Here is a 15,542-nt window from a genome sequence, read left to right as displayed (position 1 = left end):
GTGGCTGGGCACTGGGCAAGGGTGCTTTCTGATTTTTGTATGGGGAAGAGAAAGGAGGGAGGAAATGGCAACTTGTTGCCCTGTTCTAACATTTTCCTAAGATGGGTCTCGAGGCCAGGGCTTGGGATCTCACCTTGCACAGCTTAGAAAACCCAGTGAGGCCGGCTGTCTTGGCGCTGCCACTCTGAGGGATGGAGCCCACAAATGACTAGGAAGGGAGATAAAAGAATGGTTTCTGCAAGCACAAGAAGTGGCGTTATTGAAATTAACATTTCCCCCAAGTTTTACAATGTCTAGGCATGCATATTTAAGTGTCTGCCTCAAAAGCTCATGCTAATAAGGAGATGGTGCATTTAATTTCCTTTTTTTGTTCTCTGAGCAACATGCAGCTTCCTGCACAGCCCTCCTTGCAGGCAACTGCACTGAGGTGACAGTCCTCCTGACTGCCAGCACAGATCCCCAGGGCCTCTGAGGGCCCTGTATTCTGGGGGCAGTCTTTCACTTTCTATTCGGCCCCAGCTGGAAGGGAGCAGTTTAACCACAGCCCAGCACAGGTCTCCCGCCTTAGCTTCTCTAAGGAGTCTGGCTCCCTCTGACACTCTAGACCTCACCAGCTGAGGATCAGAGCCCCGGGGCAGGAGCCAGGGCCAGGGGGCATTGGGGCGTGGTTTGAGAGTGCAGCTCTGGAGGGGGGCAGTGCGGGCCCAGGAAAAGCTGCTCAGGGGAGACTGCAAAGAGATGGCAGAGTTAGTACAAGAGGGTCGGGCATGGTGGCTCACATCTGTAATCCCAGCACTTTGGGAGGCCGAGGTGGGCGGATCACCTGAGGCCAGGAGTTTGAGACCAGACTGGCCAATATGGTGAAAACCTGTCTCTACTAAAAATACAATAATTAGCCAGACATGGTGACACCTATAATCCCAGCTACTCGGGAAGCTGAGCCACGAGAATTGCTTGAACCCGGAAGGTGGAGGTTGTAGTGAGCTGAGATTGTGCCACTGTACTCCAGCCTGGGCAACAGAGCAAGATTCCATCTCAAAAAAAAAAAAAAAAAAAAAAAATAGGACAGGAGGAGGAGGGAAGAGAAGGGAGCTGTGCGGCAGCGGCCAGGACCTTAAAGGCACAGAAGAGGAAGCTTGGATTTCCAATTCCAAAGGACATGAGGAAAATTCACACACCTTTATTTAACCTGCTCCTGGTGAGGCTGGGCTTTGTGTATTTTCCTTGTTTTCCTTTTCCTTGTATTCAGGCTGTTGTAGAAACAGGTACACAGGGGCTCTGTGTGGCGCCCTGTTCTAGTTGCCTTCAGGAAGCATGGGGTGCCCTGGTTTCCTTGGCTTCGTGTCCCCCTTTCCTCCTGCCACCCCTGACTGTGCCCCCCACCTTGTCCCTCAGAACATCTTCCTGGAAGGGCCTGGCCAGGGCTTGTGTCCTTGCTAGTCTCTGGGGAGGAAGACTCTGTGGCTTGAAAGGCTGTCGGCTTAAGTTGCAAGATGTAGGTGCCTGGGAGGGCATGTGCACGGCCCTCTTGACTGATCCATTCATGTTTTCCTTTTTTGACTCTGTTCTATGTTGTCCTGATGGAGGGGTAAGCCCCTGCCTTCTGCCTTTCCTGCCTTGGACTCTTGCAATTGGACCAGATGAGAGGGTCCATGTGGTCTGAGAATTCAAGCAATGCAGGCCAGGCGTGGTGGCTCACACCTGTAATCCCAGGACTTTTGGAGGCTAAGGTGGGCAGGCCAGGAGTTTGAGACCAGGTGGCCAAAATAGTGAAACCCTGTATCTACAAAAAATACAAAAGTTAGTCGGGCTTGGTGGTGCATGCCTGTAATCCTAGTTATTTGGGAGGCTGAGGCAAGAGAATCCCTTGAACCCAGAAGGAGCAGGTTGCAGTGAGGAGCAGGTTGCAATGAGGAGGAGGTTGCAGTGAGGAGGAGGTTGTAGTGAAGAGCAGGTTGCAGTGAGGAGGAGGTCGCAGTGAGGAGGAGGTCGCAGTAAGGAGGAGGTTGCAGTGAGGAGGAGGTCGCAGTAAGGAGGAGGTTGCAGTGAGGAGGAGGTTGTAGTGAGGAGCAGGTTGCAGTGAGGAGGAGGTTGCAGTGAGGAGGAGGTCGCAGTGAGGAGGAGGTCGCAGTGAGGAGGAGGTCGCAGTGAGGAGGAGGTCGCAGTGAGGAGGAGGTCGCAGTGAGGAGGAGGTTGCACTGAGGAGGAGGTTGTAGTGAGGAGGAGGTTGTGGTGAGGAGGAGGTTGCAGTGAGCCGAGATTGTGTCCCTGGACTCCAGACTGGGCAATAGAGCGAGACTATGTCTCCAGAAAAAAAAAAAAAAAAAAAAAAAATTTATATAGAAAACAGAAAGCAAAACTACCTCTTGATTTGCTTTTCTTGATCTTGCATCTCAGAGGTAACACTGGGAAGGGTTGGGTTATACCTCTCCCCACCTTTTTCTTTGATTTCTTTTTATTTTTTATTCTACGTTCTGAGATACATGTGCAGAATGTGCAGGTTTGTTACATAGATATACATGTGCCATGGTGGTTTGCTGCATCTATCAACCCGTCAACTAGGTTTTAAGCCCCACATGCATTAGGTATTTGTCCTAACGCTCTCCCTCGCCTTGTCCCCCACCCCCGATGGGCCCCGGTGTGTGATGTTCCCCTCCCTGTGTCCATGTGTTCTCATTGTTCAACTCCCACTTATGAGTGAGAGCACACCGTGTTTGGTTTTCTGTTTCTGTCCACAGCTTTTTCCTCTGTGCACACAAGCACATGTATTTGCACATAAGTGTTTATTGTAATATTTTTAAAAAAGTAAAAATGAAATAATGCTATATTTATTCTTTGGAAAGCCTGCTTTTCAGGCAGCATGTCTTTGACATTGTCTCACGTTGGAACCTGGGTACCACCTTCTTCTCCCAGCAGTTATTCTGACCTGTGGATGCACCACGCTTCGTTTAACCAGCCCTGCACCGATACGTCTTTGGATGGTTTCCGCCTTTTCCCAGTCACAGACGGTGTTCTGATGAATTTCCTTACACACATCACTTGGTGCTCTGTGCCTGCATTTCTGTGAGATGTTCCTGGAAGTGGGCTGTCTAGGTCAGAGGGGGATCTGTGCTCAATTTGCATCCTGTGCAAAATTCCATCCAGTCATCCACCTCCCCAAGGGCTCACATGGTACTGTCCTCTGTAGACATCATCTTCTGCAGATGATGGCATGACAGCCCCTCTTTCTTTTACTCACACCAGTCTGCACCCTGGTGTCCTGGGGGTTCCAGCCCCTACCCACTTGTCTGCCCTCACCCCACAGTGCCCCCAGCCCCTGCTAACAGGGACTCTGGCTTCTGAGCTCTGGCAGACTGCCTCACTCTGGAGAAGTTTGCTTTCTCAAACATTCCTGGCAATGTTACTGCAAATCTCGAGGCCTGCATTTGCCTTCTTCAGGCCTCAGTTTCCTCAAAAGTAAAATGGGGATAATGTGATGCTACTGTCTGCATCCTAGAGCTGCCATGAGGGTTCAGTGAGATCACTGTTGAGAGCACGTTCACAGCGCCGGCCTTGTGCGCAGTCAGCACGTGTGGGGCAGGGCTGTTGCTGATACGTGGTTGACTGTCATTGCTAGACTGTGGCTTTACCAGGGTCAGTGTCTTTAGTGCTGAGCCCAGAGCCACCCCTAGTACCTGCTGTGTTTATAGAGTGATTGAGTGGCAGGGTCAGAGACTGGGGCAATGGCAGCAGAAACAGAGGAAAGAAGTGGGGCTTCTAATAGTTCCTGCACCAGTGGCCCTTGAGATGAAGCCTTCTTGCCAAGGTCTGGGGCTGTGCTGTGTGTTCTAGGCCCGAGACTGGAAGCTAGGCCTGGCTACAGTCCCAGCTGACCTGGGGAAGTGCATGTCAGCATCCTGCTTCATTAGGACACCTCCAAGCCCAGCTTAGACGTGGATTCCAGGTGACCCCCTGTTTACTCTGAGCCCAGACAGAGGACAGAGAAGTGTGCAAGGGTGGGGACCCTCATCACAGCCCTTGACTCTGTAAGGCATATGGGTTTGTGCACGTGTGTGAGCACGGCCGTGGCTTCTCTGTGAGTTTCAAGCTCGAGGTTGTGTTTATGCAGGGTTAGGCTTGCCAGGTAAAATACAGGAGGTCCAATTAAACCTGAACTTCTCATTAACCCTTTTTTTTTTTTTTTTTTTTTTGGTGCAAATATATCCCATGTAATATTTGGGACCTGCTTACCCTAAAAAATGATTTGTTGTTTATCTGAAATTCAAGTTAAGCTGGCATCCTGTCTTTTCACTTGCTACGTATGAGAGTTCCGTGTGGGGGTTATCAGTGTGCATTTGTGAGTTCCCATGTGAAGGACTCTCTCCAAGTGTCTGTAGGTGCCAGGATGGAGATGGACAGAGAAGGTCCTCTTGGGCTGCTTTAGTGGCACCTAGAGGCTGTGGGGTTGGACACTTCAGCCCCAGGGGCCTGGGCAGCACTGTCCAGCACGTGCCTGCTCCTGTCTTCTCCACGGGGGCTGACTTCCCTGCCATCTCTCTCCAAATACGGTGGCAAGAGCTATCCCATCTGCCCCCATCTGGAGCTCGGCGTCCCAGCCAGACAAGATGGCAAACAGTGTGCAGAGGGTTGCAAAGCTTTCCCAAGCTCCTTCTGCAAGGGGCCTGCAGATGAAAGGGAAGCCCTCATCCTCACCGCCTCCCCCTTCCAGAAAACCCAGGCAACAGCCACCTCTGAATGCTGCTTTAGAAGCTTCTCCCTCCTGGTGATTAAACCACCACAAACAAATAAAGCACTGCATTTCCACCATAGACTTGTTCATATGCACGCAGCCAGTTGTCTTGGATCTGCCCCTGTGCCTGATTCATCAGGGTGAGGGGTTCTCCTCTGAGGTGCTTGCAAAGAGCTGCCTAATTTTCATGTGAAAGACTCTCTGTAGAAACCAGGCCCAGCTTTGGAAGAAAGCCCTTTCTCCCCCTTTAGCAAATTCGGTGTCATTTTTTTTTTTTTTCTTTTTTGAGACGGAGATTCACTTTTGTTGCCCAGGCTGGAGTGCAATGGTGCAATCTCAGTTCACTGCAGTCTCTGCCTCCTTGGTTCAAGCGATTCTCCTGCCTCAGCCTCCTGAGTAGCTGGGACTGCAGGCACCCACAACCACACCCAGCTATTTTTTTTTTTTTTTTTTTTGTATTTTTAGTAGAGAGGGAGTTTCACCATGTTGGCCAGGTTGGTCTTGAACTCCTGACCTCAGGTGATCCACCTCGGCCCCCAAAGTGCTGGGATTACAGGCATGAGCCACCACGCCTGGCTGGAATTCTGTGTCATTCTGGATACTTATCATGACTTCAAGCATCCAGGACTCTGTCCTGGGTATCCTGAGCCTGAGGGTTTATGTGTGTCCAGCTGGCTTGGAGGTTGTCTACAGACAGGTTGAACTTGGCTTCTGAGTGCATGGCAGCCTCATGTGGGAAATACCACCAAGGAGCCTCATCGTGTGCTTTTAGGAGATAGTTTCTATTTAGTCATTGCTGAATCTGTTACAGACAGGGTCTCGATTTCTTGCAAGTCCTGTATGAGGTCGGTGCTGTGATTATCCACATTTTCACTTGCTCTCTCTGGCCTCTTTCAGGCTCTTGCACTTCCTTTGTTCTTTTCCTGCCACAGAGTCTTTGCACATCCTGCTCTTTCCGCCTGGAAAAATTTTCCCTCTCCCTGCTTCTTCACCTGGTCACGGTCTCATCTGACACTGGAGTCACTACATCCTCAGGGACGTCTGGCCACACTGACTCAGTCACAGCAACCCCCTGTTATCTGCTTTCATGACACCAGGTGCCTCTCTGTGGTAGACACTAGCTCAGCTATGGCTTCCTATTTCTGTGCGTGTCATCCTTCCCCTTCAAGACTGTGGTCACCATAAGGGCCAGGGACATGCCTGTTCTGATTCTCATTTGTGTCTCTGGTGTTTAGTATATGCTCACCTAGAATTTGATTAATGAATGACAACATACCCATTTTACAGATGAGAAAGTTGAGGCTTGGGAACATTATGTAACTTGCTCGGTATTAGATAGTGATGGTTTGTAGCCATCTGGCCGGTCGCTGGGTGCACACTCTTAACCACTTTACTATGGTTCTTCTCTCATGGTAGCTCTCCAACAGCAGGAGTGAGAGACAACTTTAGGACAGGTGTAACTAGAATCTCAGGGCTTATCCTAGAAGGTGTTGTCAGGAACATACTTGCCTATGGGCCTTCTTACTGTATTGCATAAAATACCCAGTTTTTCTGACTCACCTTTAGTAAAGACCTTAGCAATATTTGAAGCACAGTTGTCAGTAGGAAAGGGTGGATGTTTATACTTTTTTAAAAAGGAGGCTATATCATATTTATCTTGTGGTCTACCATGCCCCCCGATCTTCTTCAGCTTCAGTTATGCAAAATTCACACTTGTTCTCTTGACTGCCTCTCTCTTACCTGTTCAGTTTCTTTTCTGTGATCGAGATTGCTTAGAATTTTTCCCCATTACTACAGTCTGCTTCCCAACTGCATCCCCCACCCAGCTTGTTCTGGATTTTGTCAACAACAGTTCCAGCGTTTAGTGAGGGCTGGACTGAAGGAGAGCCTTGGAAAAGGCTGTGTGATGAAAGCTGAAGACACCTAATGGGCAGGCCGTCATCAGGGTTAATTCAAAGGCTGGAAGAAGGGCTGACCTGGAGGACTGGAAATGTCTTTGAGCTGAAGGTCATGTGCAGGTGGAACGAAGAGGGTGAGCATTTTGGGGTGAACTGCAAGTATTTGATAATATCCCTGTCCCCATTGTTGGGGAAGTCTTGATAAGCATCCTCAATGTGATGGAGGGATGAAGGAATCCGTGGCTCTACCTGCCCAGCATGACAGTAATATGACACAGCGAAGTTATTGATTCTTGGTTGCCCAGCTGTCATCAGCTCAACATCTTCTGTTAGTTATAGCTGCAATTTGCATTAGTTATCAATGCCAGTTTTGACTTTCCTAGTCAATAAAGCGTTCTGAGAGTGGTGACTAAGGCTGAGCACTACCTATAATCATGAGTATTACAGAGGCAAGCCCCCTTGCCCACCTACCTGCAGGTGATGAGACACCCTAGGGAAATCACTCAATTCTTTGGAGGACCCCGAATAAATGCCCAAGTCCATCTGTTCATCTGTCCATCCATCCATCCACCCTTCCTTCCTTCCATCCGTCCATCCATCCATCCATCCATCCAGACATGCATACATCCAACCACCCACCCATCTATCCACCCACCCACCCATCTATCCAACCAACCCACTGTCTTATGCACCCAGCTATCATCCACCTACCCACCCACCAACCCATCTGTCCATCCGCTCACCCATGCATCTATCCACCCATTCACTCATCTAACCATCTATCCACCCACCCATCCATCCATTTATCCCTTCAACCCCTCACCCACTCATCCATTTCTCCACCCACTCAGCCATCCCTTCACTGACTCAACCATCCATTCATTCGTCCACCTGCCCACCCACCCATTATCCATCCATCCACCTATGTATCCATCCATCTGTTGTCCTTCTGTTCATTTATGCCACAAAGACTCGTTAACCACCTGCTAGATTCTGGGGAGGTACCTGCTCTAGTAATGGAGAACATGGTCTCTGGAATATGATTCCCTGGGCTCATACTGAGCTGCCTCCTAGTTAGCTGCTTGGGTAAGTTATAGAAACTGTGCTTTGACTTTCTTATCTGAAAATTGGCTATTAATACCTTCTACTTTTGCAGATATAGTGAGGATTAAATAAGATGTCACATTAAAAGTGCATCATCGGCACTCAATAGAAATTAGGTTTTACCATTCATTATTATTCTTGGCAGATGCTGCAGACAACGTGGAGAGCATATGAAAGACACATGTTTGAACAAATAGTGACATACAGGTGCTACGTTCTGCAGTAGGGGAAGGTCAGAGAGCCATGGAGAGGGCCTAGCCCAATCCTGGAGCCTCAGAAAAATGTTCCCCGTTGAATTCCTGTTTTAGCTGAGACTTGTGGGATGGATAATAGTTGGAGATCCCAGACAGGATGTGACCGAGTTAGCCAGGGAAAAATTGGGTCCTGGCACCCATGGCAGAATTGATTGATCAGTTCTTCTGTCTCCTGTGTTTGGAAGTCCACTAGGTCTGGGAATGTCAAGTTGGGGGAGGGCGCTGACAATGATCATGACCTTCACCTGTCCTCACATGTCCTCTGTGTATCTGCAAAGCCTCTGCCTCAGTCTCCTCTTTTGGAAAGTGGGATTGGAAACCACATCTACTTCTCTCCCAGGACTGCTAGGAAGACAAGATTAGATGGCAGGTGAGAGCTCTTTGAAAATGAAAACATTCTACTATTTGAGTGCAAAGTGTTCTTCTTTGCCTGTGATGTTTCCTAATCTGTGAAATCATACTGGACCTCGAAGCTGTCTATTAAAAAAATAGCAAAGTGGCTGGGCATGGTGGCTCATGCCTATAGTAGTTCTAGCACTTTGAGAGGCTGAGGAGGGTGGATCATTTGAGGCCAGGAGTTCGATACCAGCCTGGCCAATATGCAAAACCACATCTCTACTAAAAATACAAAAATTAGCCAGGTGTGGTGGCATCTGCCTGTAGTCCCAGCTACTCGGGAGGCTGAGGCACAAGAATCATTTGAGCTCAGGAGGCAGAGGTTGCAGTGAGCCAAAATTGCACCACTGCACTCCAGCCTGGGAAACAGAGTGAGGCTCTGTCTGAAAAAAGAAAAAAAAAAGCAAAGTTAACACTTCCTCCATCTCTCCCCTGGGGGAGGCAATTTGTCAAAGATTGTTGTTGGATTTTACACACAGGGAAATCTAAGGAAGGTGTGGAAATCAGACCAAGACTCCATACTCTGGTCTCTCTGTTTGCAGGGTCTTAAAACGGGGAGCCACTTTGGGTTCTTTCTACAAGATTGCTTTTATAAAAACAAACAAACAAACAAAAAACTCAAAAAAAAAGCCCTGACCTAAATATTCACAAGGGACCTTAGGCAATATCTGCTAACAAAAGTGAGTGAGGAGTGGAATCTGTCATCTTTACAACTAAGACAGCTCCAGAGTTGAAGCAAGTGGAAATATCTCTAGAGACAGAGACTTGGGCGGGTTTTACCACTTACAAGCTATGAGAACCTGGGCAGTTTTACATCTCTGAGCTTCTGTGACCTTGTAAAATAGGGTGCATTGCGCTAAACTTGCAGGAGGAATCCCAGCATCCTCCTGTGCACAAGGCTGGTTTCTTCCCATCCTTTTCCTTGTTCTGCCTCTCTCCTCCTCTCCAAGAGATGAATACATTTGGAGCCAGTAGGGGTCTATGTTTGCAAAAACTCGCAGGTGATTCTCATGCAGCCAGCCTGGCTCTGGCACTGAGTTCTTGGACACTTCTGGAGGCACATTTACTAGTGAGGAAGTTCACTGTGTGCTGAAGGCATGATTCATCTTCCATTCCTTTCTTCCATGAAGCAAGACGCATGGGTCGACTGAGCTGGGAGAGTCCACGGTGTCAGCCTCCCCCACGCTTCCCTCCCTCCTTATTCCTTGTGTGCTGTACTTTGTCTTGATTTCCTGTACTCTGCACCAAGCCAGGAGATGGTAAGATCTCAAAAAAAATCATTTTTTTGGGAAATGGGATCAAGACGGTTTTTGTTTGCTTGCTTGTTTGTTTGAGACAGGGTCTGTCGCCCAGGCTGAAGTGCAGTGGCATGACCTTGGCTCACTGCAGCCTTGACCTTCTGGGCTCGGGTGATCCTCCCACCTCAACCTCCTGAGTAGCTGGGACTGCAGGTGTACACCACCATGCCTGACTAATTTGTCTATTTTTTGTAGAGATGAGGTTTCACCATGTTGTCTAGGCTGGTCTCAAACTGCTGGGCTCAAGCAGTCCTCCATCCACCTCAGCCTCCCAAAGTGCTGAGATTACAGGCATGAGCTGCTGTGCCTGGCCGAGGTTTTTTTTTTTTTTTTATTGTTATTACGAAAACTTTTCAATAAACATAAAAGTAGAGACACCAGTTTAATGAGCTATCATATACCCATCACATAGATTTAAAAACTATTAACATTTGCAATATTTACTCCATTTGTTTTTCTGAAGTATTTACAAAATAGTTTACAGTAGTTATTTAATTGCATCCTGATATTCACCGCTACATAATTTACTTTCCCTCTAAAAACATGAGGGCATTTTTTATATGATCATTGTCATACCTAATCAAATTAGCAGTAATTCCTTAATATCCTCTAAGATCAAGTTTACATTCAGATGTCTTGTCCTCAAAATGTCAATTGTGATTATTTTTTTCTTTGACCAAAGAAAATAAGATCTCAAGATTTAATGACAGAGATTCCATGTTAGCCCTGATGTCTAAGTTCTGTGGTCCATTGTGGCTTTACTTGAAAGTCTGACGCTAGACGTGGTGGTTCACATCTGTAATCCCAGCACTTTGGGAGGCCAAGGTAGGCGGATCATAAGGTCAAGAGATCAAGACCATCATGACCAACATGGTGAAACCCTGTCTCTAATAAAAATACAAAAATTAGCCAGGTGTGGTGGCGGGTGCCTATAGTCCCAGCTACTCGGGAGGCTGAGGCAGGAGAATCACTTGAACCCGGGAGGCGGAAGTTGCAGTGAGCTGAGATTGCACCACTGGAGGCCAGCCTGGGTGGAAAGAACGAGACTCTGGAAAAAAAAAATAAAGTCTGTCACTGTGGTCTCATAATAAAAGGACACTCCATTTCCTATCTGGCCCCTGCTCCTTAATGTTAGCCTCCTCCTGTGGGGAGGAGGGGGTGACTTTCAGCGCAGGTTCAAACATTCCCAGGGCTGGCTCTGATCTCACTAAAGCCCATCGTCATGAATGAATGCTTCCCTTGCAGGTTATTCTAAGTATTGTAAAGAGTGCACGTGGAGTGTCCTCATGATGCCTGGAATGGTAGTGAATATTTATAGGTTTCTTTTAGTGCCTTTTTTTTTTAGTGTTTTCTATACTTCCATGTTTCTACAACCCTTAGGAACATCAGAATCATGTGTGTGTGGGTGCTTATTAAATAAACCAGTTCCTGAAGCTCACTCCCAGTGACTGCCAGCCTGATGATTAGGGTCTCAGCTAGGACCTAGGTTTGCAAAATCTCCCAGCTGATCCCATGCAGACAGCCTGGCTCTGGCTCTGGCGCTGGGAGCTGGGTTGGGAACTAGTCTTTGGTGCTATTCTGCTGATACTTCAAGTTGGGCTCTTTGACTCTGTCTTGTATTGTCATCACTTGTATTCAGGTCTGTTCTTCCCCTGGATTGTAAACTCCTTGATGTCTGGGTCATCTCAGCTCATGAGCTGAGCTTTCAGTGGGTGCTCAGTGGAACAGGTGCTGAATGGAGTCCGGCTCTAGGGAGGCCAGCGTGTGTTGGTAAGTGAGAGACAAAAATCATTTTAAAAAGAAACTTTTTGCCCTTCAGTTGTGTTTGCCATGAGTTAATGTGATTTACTCTAGTGGAAGCCAGTGCAGCTTAAGTGGAGGTCTTGCCCTGAAATGGAGCCAGGTTATGGATCAGCAGAGCTGCCAAAAGCGTTTTGGGGGAAATGTTTCTGTGTCACCCTCAGTTGATTGAACTCAAGTTTTCACTCCCGTTTAACACCACGTGGGGGCCATTCTGACTTCTTCAGAGTGGGTATGATCAGATCTTCTGTAAAAGTGTACATGAGGGGGCTGGGCACGGTGGCTCACACCTGTAATCTTAGCACTAGGGAGGCTGAGGTAGGTGGATCACTTGAGGCTGAGAGTTTGAGAAAAGCCTGGACTGCATGATGAAACCTCATCTCTACTAAAAAATACAAAAATTAGCCAGGCATGATGGTGCATGCCTGTAATGCCAGCTATTCAGGAGGCCGAGGCAGGAGAGTCACTTGAACCTGGGAGGTGGAGGTTGCAGTGAGCTGAGGTTGCACCACTGCACAGCATTCCAGCCTGGGTGACAGAGCGAGACTCTGTCTCAAAAAAAAAAAAAAAAAAAAAAAAAAGTGTACGTGAGAAAACTGGAATTGAGCTTGAGGATGTTGGGGGATGGAGTTACTTCATTTACTGAACAACAAAAACCATAGGATACCAATGCTGGAGGAAGAAGCATCATCCTCAGTTTCTGCTAACTCAACCACGCATGAGATGGGGATTTGGTGGCCGAGAGAAAAGCTTCTTTTTAGGTCTTGAACCTTGATCAAACCATTTCTGAATTCCTCATACACATATAATCAGGTGCTATGAGTGGTACTGATTGGATAATCTTTCTGTCGTTTCCTGTGCTAGGAAGGAAAATACATGTACAGCCAACTTCCTTGAGGGTTCGTTCTTTTGCATCAGGGTGTCTCAAACTGCTGCCCTTAAAACACCTGTAAGAGAAGCATCCAGGGGGCTTGCTCGGTCTGCATGCAGGCCCTTTAGAATCAGAGTCAGAATCCCTGGGGCTGGAGCCACAAAATGATATGACATTTCAACGAGTTTGTCATCATGTGAGGGAGAATAGGTGAGTATTTGAATACCTATAATACAAAGTAGATTGAAAAAGAATGACTTGATTATTTTAAATGTTGTGTTTTTAAAAATTTAATACAGAAAAGGCTGGGCGCGGTGGCTCATGCCTGTAATCTTAGCACTTTGGGAGGCCAAGGCGGGTGGATCATTTGAGGTCAGGAGTTCAAGACCAGCCTGGCCAACAAGGTGAAACCCCATCTCTACTAAAAATATAAAAATTAGCCAGGCAGTAGTGGTGCTTGCCTGTAATCCCAGCTACGTGGGAGGCTGAGGAAGGAGAATTGCTTAAGCCTGGGAGGCAGAGATTTGGTGAGCTGAGATCGTACCACTGCACTCCAATGTGGATGACGATTGTTTAACCACCACCAACATGGGTTCTGTGTCCAACTGTTAACATGAAGATGACATCCATTGTGGTCTTGTACATTTTGTTGCCTTTCTGGGGTGAAGGACATTGGTGACCATTTGTTTCCTCTGGAGCGGTCGATTGGTCATGAACTTCCTGGTCCAGATAGTTGCTGTGTCATTCATCATGGTGGTTGATCCTCAGGTAGTTAGGGAGGAAAATAAACAAGAAGTTATATATTTAAAACCACGTTTCAATTTTACACCTGATTAATTGACTAAATAAAGGGCATTAGCACTTCTACTTCCTACAGTCCCTCCCTTTACCTCTGGAAACTAGTGATTTCTAGGTTGTTTTGTGTTGTTAAGGTGGGCCACCTTTTCTTTCTGTTCTGCACTCATAGTCCTATTTTTAAATGGATTCACCTCTCATCACTAGCCTTTTGTCATGGTCATTCAATTCACAAGTTGCTTATTTTTTAATTTCTTGGCTGACTAAATTTTATTATGAAGACTTTTTTTTTTTAAAGAGCTCAGAAATACTGTATTCTTTAAGTTCTTGAACTTGTGATAGTGTCTATTGCCTATTTTGATTGGGCAATAATTTAGCTGGCTATAAAATTCTTGGATTATACTCTATTTCCCTTAGAAATTATAGGCACCCATCCACTGACATTTCACTGTGCTTTTTTTTTTTTTTTTTTTTGACATGGAGTCTTGCTCTGTCACCCAGGCTTGAGTGCAGTGGTGCGATCTTGGCTCACTGCAAGCTCTGCCTGCCGGGTTCACACCATTCTCCTGCCTCAGCCTCCCGAGTAGCTGGGACTACAGGGGCCTACCTCCACGCCTGGCTAACTTTTTTGTATTTTTAGTAGAGACGGGATTTCACTATGTTAGCCACGATGGTCTCGATCTCCTGACCTCGTGATCCACTGGCCTTGGCCTCCCAGAGTGCTAGGATTACAGGTGTGAGCAACTGTATGAGCCCAGCCTCATTGTGCTTTGTACTGACCCCCTCTCCCTGGCCTCTTCCAGCTTGTCTTTTTCTCTCCCAGTAGTTTCTTCATGAAGAGGCCATGTGCTATATTCCATGAGATATTTCACACTCAAAGAAGACTTCTTTTATACTCTTGTGATAATTTGTCTGGGAATCACTGTCTTCATTTATAAGGGAGTTTGTAATAAATACAGTAAAAGAGAAACACACAACATATTTTGAGATATCAGAGAAGGGGGAAACCAATTCTATTAATATTTGGGGTTAGCAGGGAAGGCTTAGTTAAGAGGTAACATTTGAACTAAGCCTTGAAATAAGGGAAGGATTTGGCCATCCAGTAATGGGGAGAGAGTAGAAGCAAGACATGATGGTTAACGGTATGTATCAATTTGACTGGGTTGTGGGGTGCCCAGATATTTGGTTACACATTATTCTGGGTGTGTCTCTGAGGTATTCTGGATGAGGATAACATTTAATTGGTAGACTGAATAAAGCAGATTGTCCTCCCCAATATGGGTGAGCCTCATCCATTCCACTGAAGGCCTGAACAAAACAAAAAGGTAGAGTCAGAGAGAATTTGCTCTTTTTACCTGATTATATTTGAGCTGGGACATCAATCTTCTCCTGACTTTAGATGTGGACTCGAGTTGGAACAATATCATTGGCTGTCTTGGGTCCCCAGCTTGCTGGCTGCAGACTCCAGGACTCCTTAGCCTCCATAACCATGTGAGCCATCCTTTACAACAAATCAATCTGTCTCTATGTGTATAGATCTACCTCTATCTCTCTGCTCTTTCTCTGGAGAACTTAGAGTAATACACAAGGTTACATTAGAGAAGAGGATGACCCAAGGAAAAGCGTGGAGGCAGAAAACTGCAAAGAGGGTTTGGGAAGACGGGGGTCTTGATGGGGAGTTTGGATTTCACTGTGTGTAGCATGAAGAATCTTTGAAAATATTCAAGAGGTGAAAATTGTATTTGTGGAAGAACACCAGGAGTATGTGAAAAGAAAAACACTCACTCCATTTTAACTCCACTGAAGGGGGCATCAAAGGGATGCACTGGGGACATGGGTTGGAGGGTAGTTGAGGCCATATCTGGAGGATCTTTACTTCTAGGCTGAGTCTGAAGTTATCTTTCTGGGGAGTGGGAGATTACAAATCTTTGAGCTCCACTCAAGAGATGGTTTTGCTAACAATGGCAGGGCGAAGGTGGTGGTGGTGGTGGTGGTGGGAAACTGTTATCATGAATTCTAATTGGGCTTCTGTTATTCTAGCTGAGAAAGCTGGGGAATGGACTTTCAGTAGAATAATACAGATCTGGGAATCAACTGCATGGAGGAGGTAGTTATAGGTGATGAGATGGCTCAGGGACAAAGTTTGGTAGAAGGAGAAAAGATACTAGGCTGGTACAAAAATAATTGCTATTTTTGCCATTACTTTTAATGGCAAAATCCGCAATTACTTTTGCACAAACCTAATAGGATGCAAACTTCGGAGCCATCTGCATCAGAGGGATTGATGAAGATCAACAAAGTTTGGGAACACAGGAAAGGAGCGGGGAGGGTAATGACTTGAGGGCATAGCAGGGATAATCAAGGTTTTTCTTATTAGCATGTGGAGACTTAAGCATG

Source organism: Homo sapiens, chromosome 8 (genome assembly GCF_000001405.40).
Source record: "Homo sapiens chromosome 8, GRCh38.p14 Primary Assembly".
In the NCBI taxonomy this organism is placed as follows: Eukaryota; Metazoa; Chordata; class Mammalia; order Primates; family Hominidae; genus Homo; species Homo sapiens.
The sequence above is the reverse complement of the archived record's forward strand: the minus strand, read 5'-3'. Positions refer to the sequence as shown.